Here is a 25105-nt window from a genome sequence, read left to right on the forward strand (position 1 = left end):
TACTGCAGGAGAAGGTAGATCAGATTTGGTTTCTAGGCCACAACCAATAGACTATTTGTTCAGGTTTCTTTTATCTCCTAAAAACCTACATTCTTTGTATGGAACTGGAACCTTCCCTTTTGAAAGCAGTTGAGCTCTGCAGGGCTGTCTAATTACATGAAAGTAGACACTTCTGCTCCAAGTGTGGGGCTTTTAGTGGCCTTAAATCATTGTGATGATAATGGAGGAAGAAGTAGAAATAGCAACACGTTAAAACAACAACAAAAAACTTCTTTGAAACTTTTTTTTTTTTTTTTTTGCTGCTTGCAGCTTTTTAGATCAGGACTGCAATGGAGATACAATTAAATCCTAAAGGTACTTTAGAAGCAGGGGGTGTTGTAATGTCTTTTCTAGATAATGGTGTGACACTATGAAGAGATATCAAGTTTAATTCTTACAAATTAGAAAGCATCATCTGACTAAACTGAGTGTCTCTGGGGCTTAATCAGCTTGTATCACTAGTGGGGTTTTGTCATGCAAACTGCACTCCTTTAAATCATAAGGATGTGCTGGAAGGCTGCTTTCACTTTTTAGAATTAAACTTTTCCCCCAGTCTCGTGAGTATTGCAACTCTCTTAATGCTTTTAGGAGCTTCAAAGCATCCTTAAGAAAGGGAAACTAACTTTTGAGAATATTATGGAAAAACTGCGAATCAAGTATTCCGAAATGTACACCATAGTCCCTGCAGAGATTGAATCCCAGGTGGAAGAATGCAGAAAAGCTTTAGAAGACATAGATGAGAAGGTAATAATAATGTCTGTACTACTGTTATTATTTACGGAGCTGAATGACTATCAGGAGGAAAATATCATTTAATGTCAAATTCCATTTGCCAGGATTTCAGCTATAACTTCTTTTAAGAGTTAAGTGACCATCGTGTCTATTGAATGCTAAGATAAAGATGCTCTAAATATGTGACATAAGATAACAGAATTAGATGATTTATATGTATTTAATTGTCAAAATGCTTATTCTTCTCTTGCATTTTATAATACAGTTATATAATATTTTTTACTGGTTTTGTTTGCTTTTGTACAACCACTGTACAACCACTTGAACATTTTGGATGTTAATACTTTGCTTTAAAATACATTCTTTGAAACATTTTGACATTACAACTAAGGCAATAAGAATACAAATTTCACAACTCACTAGGAATAGCACTTAGTATGTAGTGTCTGTCTAACGATGATGTTAACAGAATTCTCATGAAAAGTACCTGAGCAAATCTTTATACCTGAAAGTCCAGATTTAAAGAAAAGGTGGAAAATATTTTATAATACTAGAAACATAGGAGCTTAGCAAGATATTTTGATTAGATTGTAGAAAGACAGCCCATATCAAACAGAAGAAAATTCTGTTTGGTCTGGTATCCACAGAAGGATTTTTTTTTTTTTTTTTTGTCTAGAATACTTACAACTTGATAAATAAAATAGATCTTAAACACAAAAAATTCAGATTTCAAACTTAGTTGCTAGAATATGTCATTAATTCTATGACAGATTTCTCAGGAAAATCTCACATGTAAAAAACATGTAAACTCTTAACGTATATTTATAACAAATCTTTTTTAGTTAACACACAAGAAAACCTATTTCGTACTTTCTCAAGGATCTCGTTACTATTGATTTTATTTCAGGAAAATACTAAATATTTTGAGAGAAACTAAATGTTATGCTCATGAATACTTATGAAAATCCCTAGCAGAGTAAATTAATAATCAAAATCAGTCGTTCAAATTCAAGGTAGAAAATTTCCGCTATGACCCTCTATATTTGTAACAAACAGCAACTAATTTTTATTGTGTGATACAGCTAAAGGAAGTTCAAGGATCCCGGGGGACAGACATAGTAACATTGTGTATAATTCAAATGGCTACATATGTTTCCTAAATCATGATCTGTCCTAATGTATCTCAATGGTATACATTTCTGCCAGGAGAATAAGTGCTCAAAATATCAGAAAACTTTTCTTGTGGTAATTTGTGACACAGCCAGCCATGAAAAGCTAATATGGAACCAAAGTGGGATTTTTTTTTTTTCTAATAATATTGACTGCAGTATGGTCTGGGGAATAAAGACATGATATAAAAGTATCAAGGCCTGATATTGTGAATAGAGCCTGGGACTCAATCTAGGGACTTGGGCGCTTCTTGGGACAAGTTCAGCTACTTCCTTGACATATGACTGTAGCAAGTCATTTAGTCTGTGTTACAGTTTCAGCATCTGTATACTGTCTGCACAGGATGATTTTAGTCTCAATGGTTATACAGATAGAGTTGTTTTTTTTTTTAATTTACAAAACAAAGGATTATACAAAAGCATAAAGTATTATTTGGTTATTTAGTAGCTGCTTGGAGAAAGCCTTATCAAATAGCAAAACAAGAACACACATCAGTCAGGTATTTGGAAAGTGATACATTCAACATTCATTTATTATCTTTCCTAGCTCAAGGTTTTTTTTGTTTCTTTTTAAGAGAATCGTTTAGATAAAAAAAAATTACGCTGTTCAGTAGCTAAGTTTCTGATGGCTGGGAAAACATCTACAAATGGTTACACAGAGAATAATTAAGCTCTGTGCATCCTCAAGAAATAGCAATTTTAGAAGGTTGTTTCACCCAAATGAATACTATGATTGGAATTACATTTTTTTAAAAAAGTCAGCTTGAGAGTAAGTTTGGTTTTACTGAAAACAGATCTATGCAGATAGATTCTCATAAAATGGAAAGATTGTATAAAAATAATTTATCCCCCAGGAATTCATTTATATCATTTGATCCATATGGAAATGTTTCACACAATCCACTCAGTAATTTTGCCCAACACAGCATATATCTGTAATACATGTTACAATACATGTATTACAGTACAAATAAAAAACCAATTTTTATTTTATTTAAGATGAGATTTAAAAGGTGAAGTAAACACACCTGCCATTTATTAGTCTTCCTATCCACCTTCTCATTAATGCATTTGCCAGAATTTCTTCCCCCAGCCCTTAAAAAATTTTTACAAGTTAAAACAGAGTGACTACCACTTTTGTTGTTCGAACCTATGAATAAAGTGCAGACAACCTCTCTAAGCCAAATGCGTCTTTGTCTCTTTCACAGATTAGCAATGAAGTCTTAAAAAGCTCACCATCATATGCAATGAGGAGAAAAATAGAAGAAATTAACAATGGGCTTCATAATGTTGAAAAGATGTTGCAGCAGAAAAGCAAAAATATTGAGAAAGCTCAAGAAATTCAAAAGGTAAAATCCTCCTTTAACTCCCTTCAGCATTTGGTACTTCTGACCCACTCCTGCCTTGTTCATCAGTCACCACAGGGTGAGTTCTTTGAATTAATCTGAAGCACAGAAATTGTAAACCAAATCCACAGGGGCATCACCTAGAGAGGCTTGATAGGGAAAGTTGCATTTAAAAATTATTCTCTTGGCCAGGTGCGGTGACCCACGCCTGTAATCCCAGCACTTTGGGAGGCCAAGGTGGGATGATCACTTGAGCCTAGGAGTTTGAGACCAGCCTGGCCAACATGGCAAAACCCCATCTCTACTAAAAATACAAATATTAGCTGGGTGTGGTGGCACAAGACTGCAATTCTAGCTACTCGGGAGGCTGAGGCACGAAAATCACTTGAACCCAGGAGATGGAGGTTGCAATGAGCCGAGATCATGTCACTGCACTCCAGTGTGGGTGACAGAGTGAGACTCTGTCTCAAAAAAATAATTCTGTTTTTCCATGGTGGGCATATACCCAAACTTCTGAGAGCCTGTGATTGTGAACTAGCATTTTCACAAGTAAAGGAAAGTAAGGATCTTATCTTGGGGATACTGATACTAAAAATCATTCAATAGAATATGAAAAATATTAAAGCTCTTTTTTAGACTGCAAAGGTTAAATAAAAATAAAAATTCCAAATTTATTTCCCTTGTAAAATATCTTACAAAATAAAATCTTAGGCAAAACTGTACATAAACACTATTCTCCTTCTTAATTCGCAAGTAAACTCCAGCATAGGGAAAGGATTCTTGTTCTAATCTATGTCTTAAGGAAATGTTTTAATAATTTGGGGCTTTTAAAATAGGTCAGAGTATGGCTCACTATTGGACAAATCTTAAGCAGAGGAACCTAATTTAACAAGTTAGATTTTCCTAGTCCTCAAGATAGGGAAAAAAATGTTCTTAAGCAAACATTAAGAATTGAATATTTTACCTTTGAAATTTTCCTCTGCCCAGCGAAGTTCAGATTTGAATCCAACCTATTGGTTTCTTGAGTCAAAAGCAGTTGCTCCTAATACATGTTTCTAGAGCTTTCTGCCTCTGCATTCATCCCAAGTCAGCAGATAATTTTCTTTTCTTTTTTTAAATTTTTGAGATAGGGTCTCACCCTGTCACCCAAGCTGGAGTGCAGTGGTGTGATCAAAACTCACTTCAGCCTTGACCTCCCTGGCTCAATTGATCCTCCCACCTCAGTCTCCCAAGTAGATGAGACTGCAGGTGTGCGCCACTACACCTGGCTAAGTTTTGTAGAGACGGTGTTTCCCTGTGTTGTCCAGGCTGGTCTTGAACTCCTGGCCTCAAGCAGCCCACACACCTTGGCCTCCAAAATTGTGTGAGCCACTGCACCCAGCCCAGATATTTTTCTTTGTTTTATTTTTTCACTTGAAATTATTTTGTAGATTAAGAGAGCGTGTGTGTGTGTGTGTGTGTGCGCGTGCGTGTGTGTGTATGAACTAGTGTAAATAGGTTCAAGTCTTTCCCCAAGCCCTTTTTAAACAGAATGTTTTGCTTGTCACTCTTGAGAGATGAGGGCTATATTGACCTTGTTTGTGTCAGTCATCTCTAAAAATGTCCAGGTCTTTCTGTTCCCCTACAGCTAATTTGTAGTGAAATGAATACAGTTGTAGTTAGGAGAGCTCAGGAAAAGTGTTTTTCAGTTTAGATCACAAATTGCTGGGTATAAATTAACAACTGTTCATGTGATGTTGTTTCTGTGATGTTTTAGTAGCATTTATAAATGTAAATACTGTGTGAAAACCAGGCATTGCCTCCATAAACTATGACCTCTTCATTCAAGTTGACTTACGATTTCCTTCTCCAGAAAATGTGGGACGAGTTAGATCTATGGCATTCCAAACTAAATGAGCTGGATTCTGAAGTTCAGGACATTGTTGAACAGGACCCAGGACAGGCTCAAGAATGGATGGATAACTTGATGATTCCTTTCCAGCAGTATCAGCAAGTATCACAGAGAGCAGAGTGTAGAACCTCACAGTTGAATAAGGTATGGCTGTGACTCGTAATAGCTTCATATCATGTGGTGGTATTGAGATGGTGTTAAAGCAAAACAATATATTCAGAAACAGTCAGTTTCTGTTGAATTATCAGTTTTGGACTTGAAGCTGGGGCCATGGTAGGCTTGTGTGGGTGCTGAGGAGACAGATTTCAATGCTAGTGCAGGCAGGAAGTCTGATTGGGCAGACAGAACCAAGAATCCAGAAGTTGACCACAGCAAGAGCCAGGCAAACTGTTGGGAAGTCCAGGCTCCCCAACAGGTGGATAAAGACCAGTAATGGGAATTTAGGGCAGGTGGTCTCAGGAGTCTAGTAAGGGAGACAACAATGAGAAAGACTGTCATTCGGGGAAAAGATACCCTCTCTACCCTCCTTCCAAATAGGAGCTGTGGTTGGCTGAGTTGTGTCTGTGATTTAGCAAGAGTGAGGCAGCATCCTAGTCTTAGAAGAACTGTAGGGCAAGGTCCTGAACAGGAGGACAAAGTACAGTCCAGTTTTTAAAATGAAGCATAAAATGAGAACCAGAATACTTGCAAGGCTAACCCAGAACTTTGCTGAGGCCCATAACGTTGGAGTAGAACTGATTAAATCCTTTCCACCTATGGTCAGAGTTAGTCTTAAAAGTCAGAAGTGTCATAGCCTAGAGCAGGTGAATAAGTAGCCCCAGCCATGGGGAGCAGACATCTGCAAGGCCTGACACACCCCTGACTAACAGCTATTGACTCTTCATCTAGGAGTCATTCAGCTCCAGTAAAAGGCATCTGACTAAGTTTGGTCCTGCATCTCTTTCCCAGGCCACAGTTAAGATGGAGGAATATAGTGACCTTCTGAAGAGCACTGAGGCTTGGATAGAAAATACCAGTCATTTGCTGGCCAATCCTGCTGACTATGACTCTTTGAGGACACTGAGTCACCATGCTAGCACTGTGCAGGTAAGTGTTCTTCCAGGTTTTCTGCCACTCATAGCATCTACATAAAGATTCGTGGCTTAGCTGATTGTCTTGGTGCTTTTTTCCTCCTTTCCTGAAATACAACCTTACCGCTAACCATGTCAGTGGCAGAAGGAAGCTTGAGAGAGTGGCAAGCAGTAGACATGGATTTTGGAGACCAGGATTCAGCTCTTACTGTCCTGATAACTACTTTATGACTTTTTGGATAATTTAGTATATCTTCTATGGACCTCAGTTTCTCCCCATGAAATAAGAATGTGGGCGGATCACAAGGTTAGGAGATCGAGACCATCCTGGCTAACACGGTGAAACCCTGTCTCTACTAAAAATACAAAAAATTAGCTGGGCACGGTGGCGGGCGCCTGTAGTCCCAGCTACTCGGGAGGCTGAGGCAGGAGAATGGCGTGAACCCAGGAGGCGGAGCTTGCAGTGAGCCGAGATCGCACCACTGCACTCCAGCCTGGGCGACAAAGCAAGACTCCGTCTCAAAAAAAAAAAAGAATGTGCATAGGATAGTGCTGATGGTTTTGGTTGTTAGAATTCTAAGATGCCCCCCAATATTCCCATCCTCTGGTGTATATGACCTGAAAGAATAATACTTGAATGTGGGCAGGAATATGAATATGATGGGATAGTCCCTTCATTGACTAGGTTACGTTATATGATTAAGGTAATGGGGTAGTCACTCCCATAAGTACTTGATTAACATGATTATAAGGCTCTCTAATATGGGATTTTGGGATTTGGAATGCTCCACCGGTAAGTATAATACTTACATTCCAAAATTTGAAAAAGTCCAAAATCTGAAATGCTTCTGGTCTCAAGCATTTCAGATAAGGGCTACTCAGCCTGCAGCAGAGTGCAGAGAGATTCTTCTTGAGAAAGCGGCTATATTGTCAGAGGGCCATGGAGCTAGGGCCCAAAGGCTTTTTCTAGAAGCTGAGAGTCAATGAGAGCCAGCAAGGAAACAGGGAACCCAGTCCTACAGCTGAATTTTGCCAACAACCTGAATGATCTTCAAAGAGAACCCCAAGCTCCAGATGGCACCGGACTGCATCCTTGTGGCTCCCTGTAAGGAGGACTCACCTCAGCTATGCCTGGACTCCTTACCCTTGGACACTGTGAGATAACTTTGTTTTGTTTTAAGCCATTAAGTTTGTGGTAATTAGTTACACAGCAATAGAAAACGAACCCATGGTTCCTTCCACTTCTAACACACCATGATTCCAAATTTCCTGTCCTTGCTGGTACTCCACACATGCCCCACGTGTCCATGCTGGCTTACAAAGTCAAAACAAATGAAAGTGTTTTCCCACTTGAGGCCTCGGCTGCAAAACATCTTCCGGATGCTGAGTACTAGGGAAGTTGCATTGCGCAGGTGTGTTTCCCTTCTCTTATTCTGCCATGAGAAGGAATCCCTTAGAGAAAAGCTTATTTGGTAACAGTGTTTACAGAATCAGACTTCCAAGGTGATTCAGCTCCTTTTTTTATCTTTGGAATGGCACAGTGTGTTCCTAAGTGAGCTGCTGACCTCAGACCTCCCTGACGTTTGAGAATCGTTGGCATATTTTTTTCTTACGGTAACAGTTGTAAAGATGCTGCATTTCTACCCATTTTTTTTTCTTTTCTTCCCCTTGCTTGTGATTTTTTTTGCCTTCCCCCACTTGGATTAACTTTCCACATCCCCAAAGTTTGTCATTTTTAAACTCTTTATCACCTCCCTGATTCACTATTTTTGAGGACTTTACCAAGACAAGAGAGAGGAATGATGCTTTTTTTTTTTCCTTCAAATGCTTATTATGAGTTAAAAAAAAAAACTGTACAAAAGTGAGCTCAGGCAAAAGCAGCTGGGATTTTGCTACCTTCTACTGATACACATGTAAAAATGTAAAAGCATCTCTCAAACTTCAGGACATTCTAAATTGCTAGACTTTCTTTCTGAGCTAGAACTGAGGAAAGGAAGTAGGGACAAGGAAGGCTCGGGTTTATTTCTATGTGTCCCGATGTGTCCTAATCTCCTCCTGGGAAGTAAGTCCCAAATAACTAGTCCTATGTGAAATCCTCATTTGTGCAATAATCTTACTTTTAGGATGCCCTTTTCCATTTTCTAGCATATTCAGGTATTAGTTTTTATATTGACTTTTAAAGAAGTGTCAGAACTCTCAACTAAGCTTTAAATGTTTGTTTTAATTGCACTATACCCTTCTACCTGGATTGCATTTGTTAAAACAGGTCTTTGTAACCTAAAGATAATTCCACAAATACTACTGTTGTAAGAATAACTGAAACATACATTCATAAAATGACATTATAAAAATAGAAAACTAATTTTTTTTTTTTTTTGAGACGGAGTTTCACTCTTTTTGCCCAGCCTGGAGTGCAATGGTGCGATCTTGGCTCACCGCAACCTCCACCTCCCAGGTTCAAGTGATTCTTCTGCCTCAGCTTCCCCAGTAGCTGAGATTACAGGCGTGTGCCACCACGCTGACCTTATTTTGTATTTTTAGTAGAGACAGGATTTCACCATGTTGGCCAGGCTGGTCTTGAACTCCTGACCTCAGCTGATCTGCCCACCTCGACCTCCCAAAGTGCTGGGAGTACAGGCGTGAGCCACCACACCCGGCCTGTTTTTTAAATCAAATTTATTGAGGTATAATTTACATACAGTAAAAATATTAATACACCTATTTTAAGTAGCAGTTAGGTAAGTTTTGATAAAAGTGCAGTTGTGTAACCACCACCGCCATCAATATAAGGAACATCTCCATCTCCCAAGACGTTTCCTCCTGCCTCTTTGCAGTCAATCCCCTTTCACCTGTCTTCAACCCTAGGTGATCACTCACTGTTTCCTATTACTATAGTTTTGCCTTTTCTAGAATATCATATAGAGGGAATCAAACAGTATGTAGTCTTACGTGGCTCACTTGTTTCACTTAACATAATGCCTTTGAGATTCATCCAGGTTGTTACACTTAATGCATAGTTAATTATTTGATTGCCAAGTAGTGTTCCAGTTTTGGAAATAAGTTTGGAAATGAGTAGTTTGTTTATCTACCAGTTAATAGATATTTGGGTTGCTTCCAGTTTTGAGCTATATATTAGCTATTTTTGTGTAACATATTACTCCATAAGTTAGCAGCTTGAAACAACAAACTTATTATCACAGTTTCTGTGGGTCAGGAGTCCATGGGCATGGCTTAGCTAAGTATCTCTGGCTCAAGGTCTCTCATGAGAATGCGGTCAAGGTGTCGACAAAGGCTGCAGGCTCATCTGAAGGCTCGACTTGTGTGAGGGAGGAGGTGGGATCTGCTTCCAAGCTCATTCCCGTGGCTGTTGACAGGCCTCAAAAGATCTGCTTCTACTTACAGACACGTGGGCTCCTCCAGGAGTCTGCCTCACACCATGGCAGCTGGCTTCCCTCAGCATAAACAATCTCCAAGAGAGTGAGAGAGAGCTGTCAAGACAGAAGCCACATTTTTTTTTTTTCTTTTAGAGACAGGGTCTTGCTCTGTCACCCAGGCTGGAGTGCAGTGGCACAATGTCGGCTCACTGCAGCCTCCACCTTCTGAGTTCAAATGTTCCTCCCACCTTAGCCTCCCAGGTAGTTGGGACTACAGGCGCACACAACCATGCCTGGCTAATTTCTAAATTTTTGCAAAAAGGTTTCACTTTGTTGCCCAGGCTGGGCCACAGTCTTTGTAATCTAACCTTGGAAGTGACATCTCATCATTTCTGCCACATTTTATTAGAATTAAATTAGTAAGTCTGGCCTGCATTCAAGGAAGCTGATATAAGGGTATGAATACCAGGAGGTAGGGGTCATTCAGGGCTACCTTAGAGGCTGCTACCATAGGCTATTATGAGCAAAGCTGCTGTGAATGTTTATATATAAATCTTTGTGTAGACAAATGTTTTCATTTTATTTCAATGAATAAATACCTAAAAGTAGGATCTCTGACTTTTACGATGTGTTTAAATAAATAATAAACTGAGAAATTGTTTTCCAAAATGGCTGTATCATTTTTCTTTCCCACCAGCAACATCAGTTCTAATTGCTTCATGTTTTCAACAGCGCTTAATATTGTCTGCCTTTTAAATTTTAGCCATTTTAGTGACTTGCAGTGGTATTTCATTGTGGTTTAAACAGGTTTTCTCTAATGACTAATAATTTTGAGCATTTATTTATGTCTTTATTGGTCATTTGTACACTTCCTTTGTGAAGTATCTGTTCAATTTTTTTTGCCCATTTAAAAAATTGCATTGTCTTCTTGTTGAGTTGTAAGTTTTTTGTAAAATATTCTGAAAACCATTCTTTTGACATATATGTCATTTACAAATATTTTCTTCCAGTCTGCGGCTTGTCTTTTCATTCTTTTAACACTGTCTTTCAGAGAGCAAATGTTATTAATTTGATGAGGTCCAATGTATCAATATTTTCTTTTATGGATTATTCTTTTGTGTTGCATTCTAAGAAATCCTTACCTAACCCAGGGTTACAAAGATTTCTTCCTGTGTTTTCTTCCAGTAACTTGATAGTTTTAACTCTTACTCTCTTAGATCTATGATTCATTTCATGTTAATTGTTGCATAAGGTGTGATTGAAGGATCAAAGTTCTTTTTTTCCATGGGGATATCCAATTGTTTCTGCATCATTTATTGATAACAATCACCATTAAATTACTTCGGCACTTTGTTGGAAATCAATTGACCTTATACATGTGCATCTATTTCTGGGCTCTCCCTTCTGTTCAATTAATTTATATGTCTATACTTTCACCAATATGACAGTCTTCATTACTATAGCTTTACAGTAAGTCTTGAAATCAGGTAGCATCAATTCTACAACTTTGTCCTTTTTCAGATTTGTTTTGGCTAAATCAAGGCCTTTGTATTTCGATATAAATCTTAGAATCTGCTTGTTAATTTCTAAATAAAGGTCTGTGGGAATTTTGAGTGGGATTGCATTAGATTTGTAGATCAATTTGGAAGAGAATTAACATCTCAACCATAGTGACTATTCAATCCAGGAACATGGTATATCTCTTTATTTCTCTAGGGATTTAATTTTTCTCAACAATGTTTTGTGATTTTCAGTATGCAGGTCTTTTTTTTTTTTTTTTTTTTTTTTTGAGATGGTGTCTTGCTCTGTCACCCAGGCTGGAGTGCAGGGGTGCAATAATGGCTCACTGCAGCCTCCGCCTCCTGGGTTCAAGCGATTCTCCTGCCTCAGCCTCCTGAGTAGCTGGGATTACAGGCTTCCGCCACCACACCTGGCTAATTTTTGTATTTTTAGTAGAGACAGGGTTTTGCCATGTTGGCCAGGCTGGTCTCGAACTCCTGACCTCAGGTGATCCACCCACCTCAGCCTCCCAAAGTGCTGGAATTATAGGCAGGAGCCACCACACCCGGCCCAGTATACATTTCTTGCATGTATACTGTTAAATTTATTCCTAAGTATTTTATGGTTTTTGATGCTGTTGTCAGTGATAATTGGTAAAAAAAAAAAAAAAAAAAGCATTGGTTTTAAGTTTTGTTTTCCTAAAAGTTTTCTCCTATAAGGATTTTGAATAAGATTAATATAAAATTCTGAATAACCCACTTAGTTTTAGTGACTTGTGACTGAAATTCTAGTTGTGTAAGTGAATGTTCTTTCTCCTATCAGTTATTTTTTATGGAATTACCTGAAGAGTACATTATCAAGCTGAACATTTTCATTAGGTGGCTGAGCTATTTTGACATCTTAAATTTGAAAGTTATTACATGTATGAAAGGGCTTATTATGTATAATAAAAGACACTTCTCTCTCCCCTATTATTAAAGGATTCCAAGTGTTTTAGAAGTGGACCAAGACCAAATATTTATGTTTCTTATTATGTTACAGTTATACAGGTAGATACTCTGAAGTCTTTCACTGTCATTGACAATAGAGGGTGTTCTGTTTTCATTATCGAACTAGAAATGACTAGTTTAAAATGTTGAGATAACTTTCAATTTTCTCTGATTTAAATATTAATCAGCTTATATCAGGATCTTGATGTTTCTCTCTATTTTTCCCATTCTGTGTTTATCTAGATGGCTTTGGAAGATTCAGAACAGAAGCACAATCTTTTACATTCAATCTTTATGGATCTAGAAGACCTGTCAATAATTTTTGAAACAGATGAATTAACCCAATCCATACAAGAGTTAAGTAATCAAGTAACAGCTTTACAACAAAAAATAATGGAAAGCCTTCCACAGATTCAGCGAATGGCTGATGTAAGTTTGCACCATTCATTTAATCATTCAGGATTAAATTAGAGGCTGGGCAATGGTGGCTCATCCCTATAATTCCAGCACTTTGGGAGGCCAAGGCGGGTGGATCACTTGAGGTCAGGAGTTCAAGACAAGCCTGGCCAACATGGTGAAACCCTGTCTCTACTAAAAATACAAAATTTAGCTGGGCATCGTGGTGCACACCTGTAATCCCAGCAACTTGGAAGGCTGAGGCAGGAGAATCGCTTGAACCTGGGAGGCAGAGGTTGCAGTGAGCCAAGATTGCGCCACTGCACTCCAGCCTGGGTGACAGAGCAGGATTCTGTCAAATAAATTAGAGTTATACTACTAACCAAGCACTATACAACTAATCAATGTGAAGGCACATTGATCTGGTAAAATGTCATGTATGTTCTCATTTGTGGAATTATATTTTACTTTACTTTGCAACCTGTAGTGTAACTATAACAAAAAGCATCTCCTTATTTTCAATCCAGAAGTGGTCTGTTTTAAAGAGTAAAGAATCCCGATAAAATAAGCTCAGTGTTTTCTCTTTGTCAAAGAGAAATACTACTGATTTTTAAATGCTGGATAGGAAAGAGGGAATTAAAAGAGATAGTTCTGGCTGGGCGTGGTGCCCAGCACGGTGGCTCACGCCTGTAATCCCAGCATTTACGGAGGCAGAGGCAGAAGGATAATGTGAGCACAGGAGTTTGAGACCTGCCTGGGTACTACAGTAAGACCCCCTTCTCCACAAAAAGGAATTAAAAACAAGTGTAAAACAGGTAGTCCCAAGTCTTTATTTACCAATAGCAAATATTTATTGAGGGGTTGTTATTTGCCAGCCTCTGGATTTTTATTTTGGCTTGAAACATCAGAAGCATTTATTTAAAGATAGAGTCACATAGTAGAGGCAATTAAAGTTCTTCATTATTTACATTTGTTACTCAGTTACATTCCCTACACCACACTCATGTATCTTCAGGGAATAGTAAGTGTTAAAGTAATTATTTTTGGTTACTGAAGCTCATTTCAAAATTTTTAAATGCTTCTATAATGTTTGATGAAAATTACCCTAAAATACATTGTATAATTCTATATACCTTCTTAAATAGTAGGTGCACAGAATAATGTCCATGTAATTTAACTTTTCCTCATAATTTGAAGATATCACTATAAACAGCTATTGTACATACTGCTTCATTTTCTTATAAAGTTTTGTTGGTCCCTGGCCAGGAACGATGGCTCACACCTGTAATCCCAGCACTTTGGGAGGCCGAGGCGGGTGGATCACCTGCGGTCAGGAGTTGGAGACCAGCCTGGCCAACATGGCGAAACTCCGTCTCTACTAAAAATATAAAAATTAACTGGGCATGGTGGCACGTGCCTGTAATCCCAGCTATTCAGGAGGCTGAGGCAGGAGAATCGCTTGAACCTGGGAGGCGGAGGTTACAGTGAGCAGAGATCGCGACATTGCACTCCAGCCTGGGCAACAAGAGCGAAACTCCGTCTCAGGAAAAAAAAAAAAAAAAAAAAAAAAAAAAGGAAAGAAAATGGTGAACATTATTTATTTATCTATAGTGCTTGGTTAGTTTTTCAGAGGTATAGATGGCAGACATTATTTGGCTAAATAAGAGAATAAAATTAATGCCAATAAACTGTTTTATAGATGATTAATATACAATATATATTGCATCAGTGTGTTCTTCTGAAATTCTAGGATGTGGTTGCTATTGAATCTGAAGTAAAATCAATGGAAAAAAGAGTTTCAAAAATCAAAACTATCCTATTATCAAAAGAAATATTTGATTTTTCACCTGAAGAACATCTCAAACATGGGGAGGTAAGCATAGATTATTATTTAAAGTATTTTCTTATGATACTTATTATGTCTTTTTCAAAATATAATATAATGTGATTTAAAAAAGCATTTAGTCTTACCAGAGTAATAGCAAAATAAGGTTGGGAAATTGATGGGAATAACTATAACTGTATATTTAAATCGTAGTTGTAGTACCACCTATGTAAAGATAATTTTCCTATAGGTTATTTTTTCATTTAAATCAAACTCAAGGGCTTGAGCACCTAATTCAGGCTGAACTGGGTTCCAGCCCCAGCTAGACTGCTCACTGGCTGCATGACTGAGTAATTAATGGTTTTTGGATTCTCTTTCATATCCGTGCACTGGTACTGAGGAGATTACATTGGCCAATTGTAATGTAAATAGAGCCCCTGACAGAGGAGCTGGGACATGACTAAACAGCAGGCAAATGTTGATCCCCTGCTCAGCCTAGTGATTGAGAGCATGTGGTTTAGGACTAGGGAGGCCTGGATTCTGTTCCCAGCTCTGCCTCTTACAGACTAAGCTTACCTGGATCTTCTAACTTCTGTGAGCCCAATTTCCTCACCTGTGAAATGGAGGTTAGGATACTTACCTCTCGAGGGGTTGTGAGGATTAAATGAAATGATATTATATGAGATATGACTTAGTACGGTGAGTAATCTCTTCTAATGTATTGGTTACATAAATCCAGATTTCTATGGATCAGATGTTATTAAAGCAAAATATAATTATACTCCTGGGACTCATGCAGCACAGTTCTGTTCAAGTCAGTAAGCACTTTTGAGGGCCTACTATACGGGAAGTCCTGTGCTAGGTGTAGTTGCTACGAAAGTGAGAGGCAGTACCTGCCCTTACATTGCTCACTGCCTAGTGACAATATACACAGCAGAACGCCAGTTCTACACAGAAAGTGGAGGGAGAAAAGGAAGAAAAAGTTGTCCAAATGCGTAATTTAGTATTGGTAGGTTACTCTTGCCCCAGTTATTCTTTCCTGAGACTTTCAACTCCCGGATCATGAGTGATATAATAGTTCTTTTCAATCTGAGCTAAGAAATTATTTTAAAAATGCAAACTATAAAAACTATACTGTATTTTAATTTTGAATAATTAAATTTAACAGTGGCCATTGTCTTTTCATTTCTGTAACATGCTCCTCTTATATAATTAAGGTCATACTTGAAAATATACGTCCCATGAAGAAAACCATTGCTGAGATAGTGTCTTACCAAGTGGAACTGAGGTTGCCCCAAACAGGAATGAAACCTCTGCCTGTGTTTCAGCGGACAAATCAGCTTTTACAAGATATAAAACTATTGGAAAATGTGACTCAAGAACAAAATGAGTTATTAAAGGTAAGCAGTTTCTGATGACATCCAACTTACTGGATGAAAATGTTCACCAAAAGCTGGTTTGGTTTTCACTTCTAATTGAAATTCATTATTATCCTATTATTGTAGGAGGTGGCATTTGATATAAAAGCATATCTTCATGCTCAAATGGAGCTAAGGTTATTTTTCTCAGTTCTTATCCTTTAAGACATTAAAGCATAGTTATGGTCTATTTAATTTCATTCCACAGTTGTTGACCTACATGGGCAAAATGCTGTGGGAAGAGAGTCAAACCTGAACAAGGCATTTGCAGCCTCTGAGGCCAACAGATCTGTAAAGTAATCATCACCATAGTAATCTCTGTGTTCATCTCAGTGACTCTCCTATTGATTTTCTCATTACCAAACGTGATGTAGGTAGAGTAGGCACTTTATCTTTATTTTTACAGATAAGGAAATTGGCATCAGGGTTAAGTGACTTGCTGAAAGACCACAGAGTTAACTTGTGTAGAGGTTAATTTATGTACACATGGAACAAGAATTTGAGTTTCTAAACTCCTGGTGTCATTTCTGCATATTGAGAGCTGATATTCTTCATCTTCTCCCCAGAGGGGTTTTGTGTTGTGGTGGCGGTGGTGGTGGTTGGGTTTTGTTAAATCACTACTCTCCATCAGGAATCATCATTAGTTAGGAATAATCTTTAGTTTGTATTCCTGGATCAATAATCACTCCCACAAGAACAGAAAGTTGCAGAAAGTCTGCACAGACTTCCAACCGTCTCCGTCAACCTCCTGCATGCTGCCTTTCCTGATTAGATGGGTCACTGTAAGGGTTATTTTTCATTTTTCATGACCGCCTTCTGGTTGTAAGAAGAAAAATGACTATATGTTTTTCCCTCTTAAATTTCATGCACATTTTGGTGGCCACTCTGTTCTCCTAAGGTTTGAGGAGACTGTAATCTCTGGTTTGAGTCTTAACTCAGTTTCTCTGGTCTGGCTGCTGGTCAACTGATGTCATTCTGTAACACCTACAGAGAGAAAAAAGATCTAGCACTCAATGTACTACCTTGTAATAATATAAAGAGAAAAAAATATAAAATTTGATCCATTATTTTCATCCTTTTGTGCTTTATTAGTCTCCTGGTCAGAAAAAGAAAGCCACGGTCCTAACTATGCTTTCAAGTGGCTTCTTCACAGACGAAATGGGTGAAATAGAAGAGGCAGTTCTGTTTTGTGCCAAGTTAGGTATCAAACTATGCTGCTCAAATTTTCCATCTCATTGTGCTGGTGGCAATCAGATGTCCCCTCATATATTTCAAAGCTAAGGAAGACAGTGGTGAAGACAATCATTAGAATATGGTACATTTCCTTTGATTTCTACTTTAGATATTGTAAGTACCCTCGTTGTAGAAAATAAGACAAATTCCTTTTGTGGAGAGAACGGGATGTAGTTCATTATTGAGGGCTGGGGAACAGATGTGCACAGTGAACATAGTTATTCATTTCCAGCCTATGGCTAAAATTATAGTTAAATATTAAAGAAAATACAAGGAAGAATTTCGTGTTGGCTAGAAACTTTGTAGTTTTAAAAGGCATTTTGCTTCATTATGTAGCATACCAAAGAAGTATCTAGTTTTTCTTTTGAAGTCTGTTTCTTTGTTTTTCATCGTGCTTAATCATATTATTTAGTCCACAGATAGGTCTGAGCTTTCCTGCTCCCCTAGCACTAGATGCCAGGTATTGTTCTGGTTAGTTCTTATTCTGCAAATTTAGACTGTTCTTGAACCCTCAGCCTCTTACTCGTAAAACACACATCACTGATCCCAAGGGGTACCAGGTGAAGATGAGTCTGGACCGGGAAAACCCATCATCACTGACCTCACATGCTCTGTTCAGTCTGAATTGTTATGTCACCTTTCTATGCGGAAAGCCCCCCCGCTCCCCCGGCCATGGAATATGTATTAAAATGGTGTATGTGACTTGTCAGTAACTTCTCAAAAGTTAGCAACTTTATGTTAACACGCCATAAAATGCTTTCCAGAATAAACCCACTGGACCAGAAATACTTAAGAGCAAAGGTGTGTCCAGTGAGACTTGTACTTTAAGCACTGCCCAAGGTGCCCTGGCATCTAGTAGAGCAAGAAGATCAGGTGTCAGCTTTGCAAACATTCTTCTCTCTGTTTAGGCTACCACGTCCTATTGAAATCTCAATGGGTGCATATTTGCTGTGAGTGATTAAAACTTCCATGGGGCTAGACAATGAAAATAGTCCATTAATCTGCTTAGATTATGACAAAGATTCTTTTTTGTGGGGGTTATTTTATAGGTAGTCATAAAACAGACCAATGAATGGGATGAAGAAATAGAAAATTTGAAACAGATCTTAAATAATTATTCAGCTCAGTTCTCCCTTGAACATATGTCACCAGACCAAGCTGACAAGCTGCCACAACTACAGGTATGTTTCTTTCATTCATAAAGGTATGTTTCATTTGTCCATCAGTGCATTTATTTAATACTTACTAAGCCTTTGGTGTCTAGGAGCCTTTCTAGTGGTGCAGTGTAACACCTGTTTCTCTGTAACAATTGAAGGTATTTCTGTGTGTGTTTACTTTCCATCCCTATTTCATAAAATAGATGATTATATAATTATCATTACTAAAAAGTGACAAAATTATAGCCCCTGATGTTTGATCAAGAGAAGCCTTATCTGTTTGTAGCCTGGGCAGTCCTAATCCCAGAAACTGAGCCAGGGCTGCCGCATCTCCTTCTTTAATGGAGGGCTTTTTAAGTGCCCATGGCCTCAGCTTGAAGCATTTTGATGTGAATTTGCTCTGGTACCAAAGAACCTGATATAACACACAGGATATTTGGACAACCTGACTTTCTGGGATAGAGTCAGGCAGTGTAGGCAGGCTGGGCTTCAGCAGTGAAGACCCTGAATACTATTGTAATGAAGAATTCCATATTCTAAGCAGTATTGCCATACTGACATATTGCCATATGTCAGAATTAACAGTGTCCTGTGGGCCGGGCGCGGTGGCTCACGCCTGTAATCCCAGCACTTTGGGAGGCCGAGGCGGGCAGATCACAAGGTCAGGAGATCGAGACCATCCTGGCTAACACGGTGAAACCCTGTCTCTACTAAAAATACAAAAAAAATTAGCTGGGTGTGTTGGTGGGCGCCTGTAGTCCCAGCTAGTCGGGAGGCTGAGGCAGGAGAATGGAGTGAACCTGGGAGGCAGAGCTTGCAGTGAGCCGAGATCGCGCCACTGCACTCCAGCCTGGGTGACAGAGTGAGACTCCGTCTCAAAAAAATTAAAAAAAATAAAAAATAAAAAAACAGTGTCCTGTGGATTCAGTTACAATGGTTTGCATGTTAACCATCTGTTGCTAGGTTTTTTCAGTCTTTGTTTTTGAAGTAGCATTTCTATAATAAAAAACAACAACAACAAAAAAACGTGATTGTATGCTAAGGGTAATAGAGAGCTGCTTTTTTTTCTTGCCATCAAATTGATACAGGCAAGCAATTAATATGGTACTCAAAAGAAGATTACACTACTCGCCAGCTGTGAGACCTGGGGCAAGTGATTTGACATCTACAGTGAAGTACAGGAGAGTGCAAGATGACACAGCTGTTAAATGGTGGATCAATAATTCCCACTCAGTAATGAAGACTCAGTATTGTAAAAATATTAGATTTCCCCTTATGCTAAAAAATCAAGGACCCCAGAGAGCTTTTGTTTATATGAATTATATCCATTGATAACTAAATTAAAACTCAGAAATGTAAAAACATTCATTTAGTTTTTAAGCAACAATAATAAACCCACTACATATTAATAGGAATAACTATTTTTATTTTCTTTTTTTTAGAGATGAGGTCTCACTGTGTTACCCAGGCTGTAGTAGAAGTAACATTTTTTTAAAGTAGTTATATTTTCTAAAACAAATAGTAATGAGAAGAGTGACATTGTTTTATGTATTTGTAATCTCTTTAATATCTGGCTTAATATTAGGTCAGTGCAAAAGTAATTCCAGTTTTTACCATTAAAAGTAATGACAAAAACCGCGATTACTTTTGCACCCACCTAATGGACAGATGTGGGTGCTGCAAATGTTTCTGCATTTGATCTGCTGAAGCATGTAGTTTTGTTTTAAGTATAGGAAGACAATCCAGCCTCTCAAAGACATGCACTTGGAAGATGGAGGAATATTTTAATAGTCCTTTTGAATAATTGTGGACATTTTTCTTTGAAACTATACTAAAACCCAACAAGTGCAAAGTATGTATTAATTGTAAAACGGAATCTAAACCCATGTCAATGAACTTTATACGTTTTTACATTAAAATTTACTGGCCTACTTTGTACTTCGAATGGATCTTCTAACAATGCATGATTTTATAACATCACGCTCGATCACTTGGAAAATCCTGATTAGCTGAGTTAGGCCGATCTTCCAAATGTTGACACATTGTCAATATTTCTTTAAATCATAGTTGTTAATATTAACACTTATCTCTTCAGAAAAAATCTTTTAGTATTTAAGGAAAGCAATACAGTTTATCAGCTGGCTTTTTTTCACGTAAAAATAGTGTTCTGTGAATAAAAAGGATAGTTCAGCTTACAACTCAAACAGTAGCATAAGTGCTTTTTCTCAACCATTGGCCCTTGGTATGCAGCAGAAGTGCCATATGCATACTTTCCATTTTTTCACAAAGAATACTAAAAATACATACTGCTGTGGTTTGAATGTTTTTTCCTCCCAAAAAATGTTGCCTCCCCTCCCCCCAACATTTTTGTTCATGTTGAAACTTAATCACCAACACAGCAGTATCGGGAGGTGTGGCCTTTGGGAGGTGATTGAGTCATGAGGGCTCTTCCCTCATGAATGGGATTAGGTGCCCTCAGAAAAGGGCTTGAGGGAGGGAGTCCACCCATTTTTGCCCTTCTGCTTTGTGCCGTGTGAGAACACGACAAATCTCCCTTTAGGAAGATGTAGTCTTCAATGCGCCATCTTGGAAACAGAGAACAGCCCTCACCAGACACCAAACGTACCAATACTTTGATCCTGGACTTCCCAGTCTCCAGAACTGTGAGAAATAAATTTCTGTTCTTTATAAGTTACCCAGTCACAGATATTCTGTTACGGCAGCACAAATAAACTAAGACACATATTTTTATCAAGGACATTCTTAAGGAAAATGGAATTTTTTTTACTATAAATACATCAAAGTGAAGAACCCAGTAACAACGAATATACTTGGTGTTCCTGCCTTGATTCATATTAGGTGCCGGTAGTTTTACCCACCATTGCTTTCATGCCATCAGTGCAAATGTCAGTATGGTGTAAAAGGCAAATAACATTTTAGTATTATGAAAATGATCTGGACCTCATGGACTGTGGCCAGGGGTCTGCAGATGCTGCTTTGAGAGCAGCTGCTCCATGTAGGACTGTGCCTCTACTCTGTTTGTGTTATCCTAGTGGCTGTAGTATTGCTCTTGTCAGGAGGCAGTGTACCTCTGAAGTTTAGTGTTTATTGAAAGTGGAACACAAAATGCAGCCAACTCAGATTTAAGTCAAACAGTTGTTATTTCCCAAAAGCAATCACAGAAATTTTGACTTCAGACAGAATAGGGGTATTGGCATAGAAATGTGTGCAGTACAGCCAGGAGAAAGCCCAGGCCTGTGCTCTGCTGTGTGCTAGTTGCAGCTTTGGACAAATCACCTTCTTTCTCTGGCCTTTAGAACTCTCTCTTGCAGGTGGAGACAGATTACGTTTCTCTGTTTTGTAAGAAAATTATTGCTTCTATGACTATCTGTAGGATGGGTGGATGGATGAACTGACAGCAAGAAAGGAAGACATAACAAGGAAAGAATAGGGGTCTAAGGAATATATTAGGAACAAATTTCAAACACATGAAGGTTTTCTAAAAAGGAGCAGGCTGCTTCTGATGCAGTACTCACTTCAGGAGCTCAGGCAAGTTGAATGACATCTCTCAGAGGTGCTAGAGAGGAGGATGTTAGTGTATTTGTCACCTGCTGTTTCTTCCAAAGCTAAGAATCTATAATCCTATAGTCATCTCAGACATACAGTGGGCATCTGCATATCTGCCATGAATAAGAAATTTGATCTGCACATATCAATAATATAAATGTTAAAAGTAACATCACGAAGCTTGAGATCATCTGTCCATCATTCCCATAATAAGATATACTACATGGTACCTTTATTTGTTTACCTATTCCTATTTAGTAGGAAGATTTTACTGTAGAAAAAGTAAATGATTGAGCAGGATAGACTCTGCTTAAAAAAAAAGTAAATGAATTTAGTAATACCAAAGAAGCCTTCAAAGATGATAATAAAAGAATGAGATTTCTGTCTTCATTTTCTCTCAGTGGTTCCCAAATGTTAGTCTGCTTAAGAATTTCCTGGAGAGACATGGGAACATGTCTCCTGGGGACATGCATTTTTAATATGCTTTGGGACACAATGGAAAGTCTGCATAAGGCACTTATGCAGTGTTGGTTAGTGTGCAGACTCCGGGGCCCTGCCCCGTGGATCCTGGTTCTCTCAGTCCTGTAGCTGGCCACTAGAGCGGTAGCTCCCAACCCTGGCCGCACACCACAGTCACGTGTGGAGCATGTTACAAGTTTCCATGCTTTGGCTCAACCCGCAGAGATTCTGATTCACAAGGTCTCTGGTAAGGCTGAGGCATCCTATAGCTTATAAACCCTACACAGGACCTTTGGAATTGTATCCAGGATGGAAAGGAGCTATACCGTACCAGAGACTAGCTTCTGGCTTTGTAAACCAAATAGCAAAGAAAAATCTTCAGCCCTTGTACCAAAGGAAGCAGGCTGCTCTGGGCCTGCAGAGGCCTCAGACTTCTCAAACCTATGCAAACACTCTTTCTACACAGGGAGAAATCGAACGTATGGAGAAACAGATTCTGAGTTTGAACCAGAGAAAAGAAGACCTGTTGGTGGACTTGAAGGCCACCGTACTAAACCTTCACCAGCATTTGAAGCAAGAACAAGAAGGAGTAGAAAGAGATAGGCTGCCAGCTGTAACATCAGAGGAAGGTGGAGTGGCAGAGAGGGATGCTTCTGAGCGGAAGGTGGGTATGACTTTAGGTTAATGCTGGCCCCACACTCCACAAGAGCATTAATGGGTAGTGTTTTCCACCTGAACGACCTGTGGCATCTATGTCTATGGCCTGTAGTAAAGGAATTTTTTAAAGTGGAAATACTCAACCTGAGGTTGTTTACTAGTGAATATAAATCCTCAGGGTGTGCCTGTTCTGGACTCCACCCAGAATTCTTAACACCTGAATTACTTTAGGACATGCTTATAAAATTTCACAGGCAGGTGGATCAAGCCTCCCTTTGAAGTATCTTCGTACAGAAAAGTCAGCCCTTTGCAGACTCAAGAAGGGCCCAGTGCCTAAGTCTTCTCTGCATTCACATCAATGAATCACATTCTTTAATCGTTTATGAAGGGGCACAGGGGGCCATGAAAATAACAAGACCTAAGGTTTGACTGACTCCGGATATCTGGCTGGAGGAGCTGAACGGACCAGGAGACAGGCTTCTTGTGGGGGTGGGCATCTTGGATAAAGTAAGTAAAAAATTAGCTACATAAAAATGCAGCTGGACTGGGATCTTGGTGATGTTGACTGGCAAGCAGACTGCAGGTATTCTTGTGCTGTGCCTTTCAGTTGAACAGAAGAGGCTCCATGTCTTACCTGGCAGCAGTCGAGGAAGAGGTGGAAGAAAGTTCCGTGAAGAGCGATGTAAGGGAAATGATTTTCTTGTTAAAGTTTGTTAGAACCAGATCTCTAAAAGAAGTCAATGAAAAGATCTTAAAGTGAATGGAAACCTAAGAATTTTTAAAATTAATGTTGATATTTTAAAAGTATGATTGAAGTAGTTCTCTTATGTTATTAATGTTTAAGTGTATGGAAACCTACTTCACTGTGTAAGAGTGAGATGAATGTAATTCAGACACTCTTGTTGGCATACGGGAGAAGGTGAAGAAGTTCTCTGTAGTATCCTGATTTCTGAGGACTTTCTCTGAAGTTTTGAGAGCATGCTGTTTGGCACTCCTGGTCTCATTTTTAGAACTGTATTTTTCCGCATTTCAATTACTCTTTTGCTCTAAAACAGTATTTCCAATGACATGAAGAGTTGTGTTAGCAAGTAATACTAAGAATTTGTACTACTTGATTATAACTGGTTGAATGAGACATTTTCAGTTGTCTTTTCTGACGTCAGTTTCCATTTCATACTTGAAAAAATAAGTTGCAATGGGTCTTAAGACAAAAGGAAGAAAATTGAAGCAACTTACAATTTTTGTGACTTACATGTAACCACCAGACACTTTTTGGGCTCATTTTATAGATGGTTAAATAGCTCCACTCTCACACAGAGCAGACCTCTTGTCCTAGAGTGTGTCGCTGGGACATGGTGGAACTGTGACAAGGAAGAGTACAACTTTACTGTGTGCTCTGTGACCATCAAACAACTTTGCAATCTGATTATACCCCTTCATGGCAGAGAGAACTACGAAAATAATGGAGGGACCAGGGGCCAAAAAGAGTGACTTCAGTACGATGTTAATTTGAGACATGTATTTCCTTCTGAGCTGATGTTTATAGTGTTGTTTGTCTTTGACAGCAACAAAAAAGTACATGTTCATCAAGCTGTGATTTTTTTTTCTTTTTTTTAATTATTATTATACTTTAAGTTTTAGGGTACATGTGCACAATGTGCAGGTTAGTTACATATGCATACATGTGCCATGCTGGTGCACCGTACCCACTAACTCGTCATCTAGCATTAGGTATATCTCCCAATGCTATCCCTTCCCCCTCCCCCTAACCCACAACACTCCCCAGAGTGTGATGATCTAGAACTAGAAATACCATTTGACCCAGCCATCCCATTACTGGGTATATACCCAAAGGACTATAAATCATGCTGCTATAAAGACACATGCACACATATGTTTACTGCGGCATTATTCACAATAGCAAAGACTTGGAACCAACCCAAATGTCCAACAATGATAGACTGGATTAAGAAAATGTGGCACATATACACCATGGAATACTATGCAGCCATAAAAAATGATGAGTTCATGTCCTTTGTAGGGACATGGATGAAATTGAAAATCATCATTCTCAGTAAACTATCGCAAGAACAAAAAACCAAACACCGCATATTCTCACTCATAGGTGGGAATTGAACAATGAGAACACATGGACACATGAAGGGGAACATCAAGCTGTGATTTTTTTAAAAAAATTGACAAGTAAAAATTGTATGCATTCAAAAAATTTGCCAGGTGTGGTGGCAGGTTCCTGTAGTCCCAGCTACTTGGGAGGCTGAGGCA

General features: G+C 38.6%; 1 protein-coding gene and 1 non-coding gene across 31 annotated transcripts in view; one reads left to right on the plus strand and one right to left on the minus strand.

The window, feature by feature from the left end:
• SYNE2 (spectrin repeat containing nuclear envelope protein 2) overlaps nt 1–25105 on the plus strand; it is a 464854-nt gene that overhangs the window by 313722 nt on the left and 126027 nt on the right. For 28 of the 30 annotated variants that reach the window (XM_047431152.1, XM_011536576.3, XM_047431149.1 and 25 more), the window contains 10 exons: nt 628–783; nt 3149–3289; nt 5139–5321; nt 6126–6263; nt 12354–12539; nt 14257–14379; nt 15549–15731; nt 18032–18163; nt 22632–22829; nt 23430–23504. In XM_047431152.1, the coding sequence (XP_047287108.1) occupies nt 628–783; nt 3149–3289; nt 5139–5321; nt 6126–6263; nt 12354–12539; nt 14257–14379; nt 15549–15731; nt 18032–18163; nt 22632–22829; nt 23430–23504 (1515 nt within the window). Of the gene's footprint in view, nt 1–627; nt 784–3148; nt 3290–5138; nt 5322–6125; nt 6264–7106; nt 7403–12353; nt 12540–14256; nt 14380–15548; nt 15732–18031; nt 18164–22631; nt 22830–23091; nt 23330–23429; nt 23505–25105 lie in introns of those variants that run through there. The other 2 variants (XM_011536584.3, XM_047431160.1) reach the window with 2 other exon arrangements.
• Nucleotides 19707–19808, minus strand: MIR548H1 (microRNA 548h-1). Its single transcript, NR_031677.1, has one exon. It is a non-coding gene; the product is annotated as a microRNA 548h-1 (primary transcript).

This window comes from Homo sapiens, chromosome 14 (genome assembly GCF_000001405.40).
Source record: "Homo sapiens chromosome 14, GRCh38.p14 Primary Assembly".
Taxonomy (NCBI): Eukaryota; Metazoa; Chordata; class Mammalia; order Primates; family Hominidae; genus Homo; species Homo sapiens.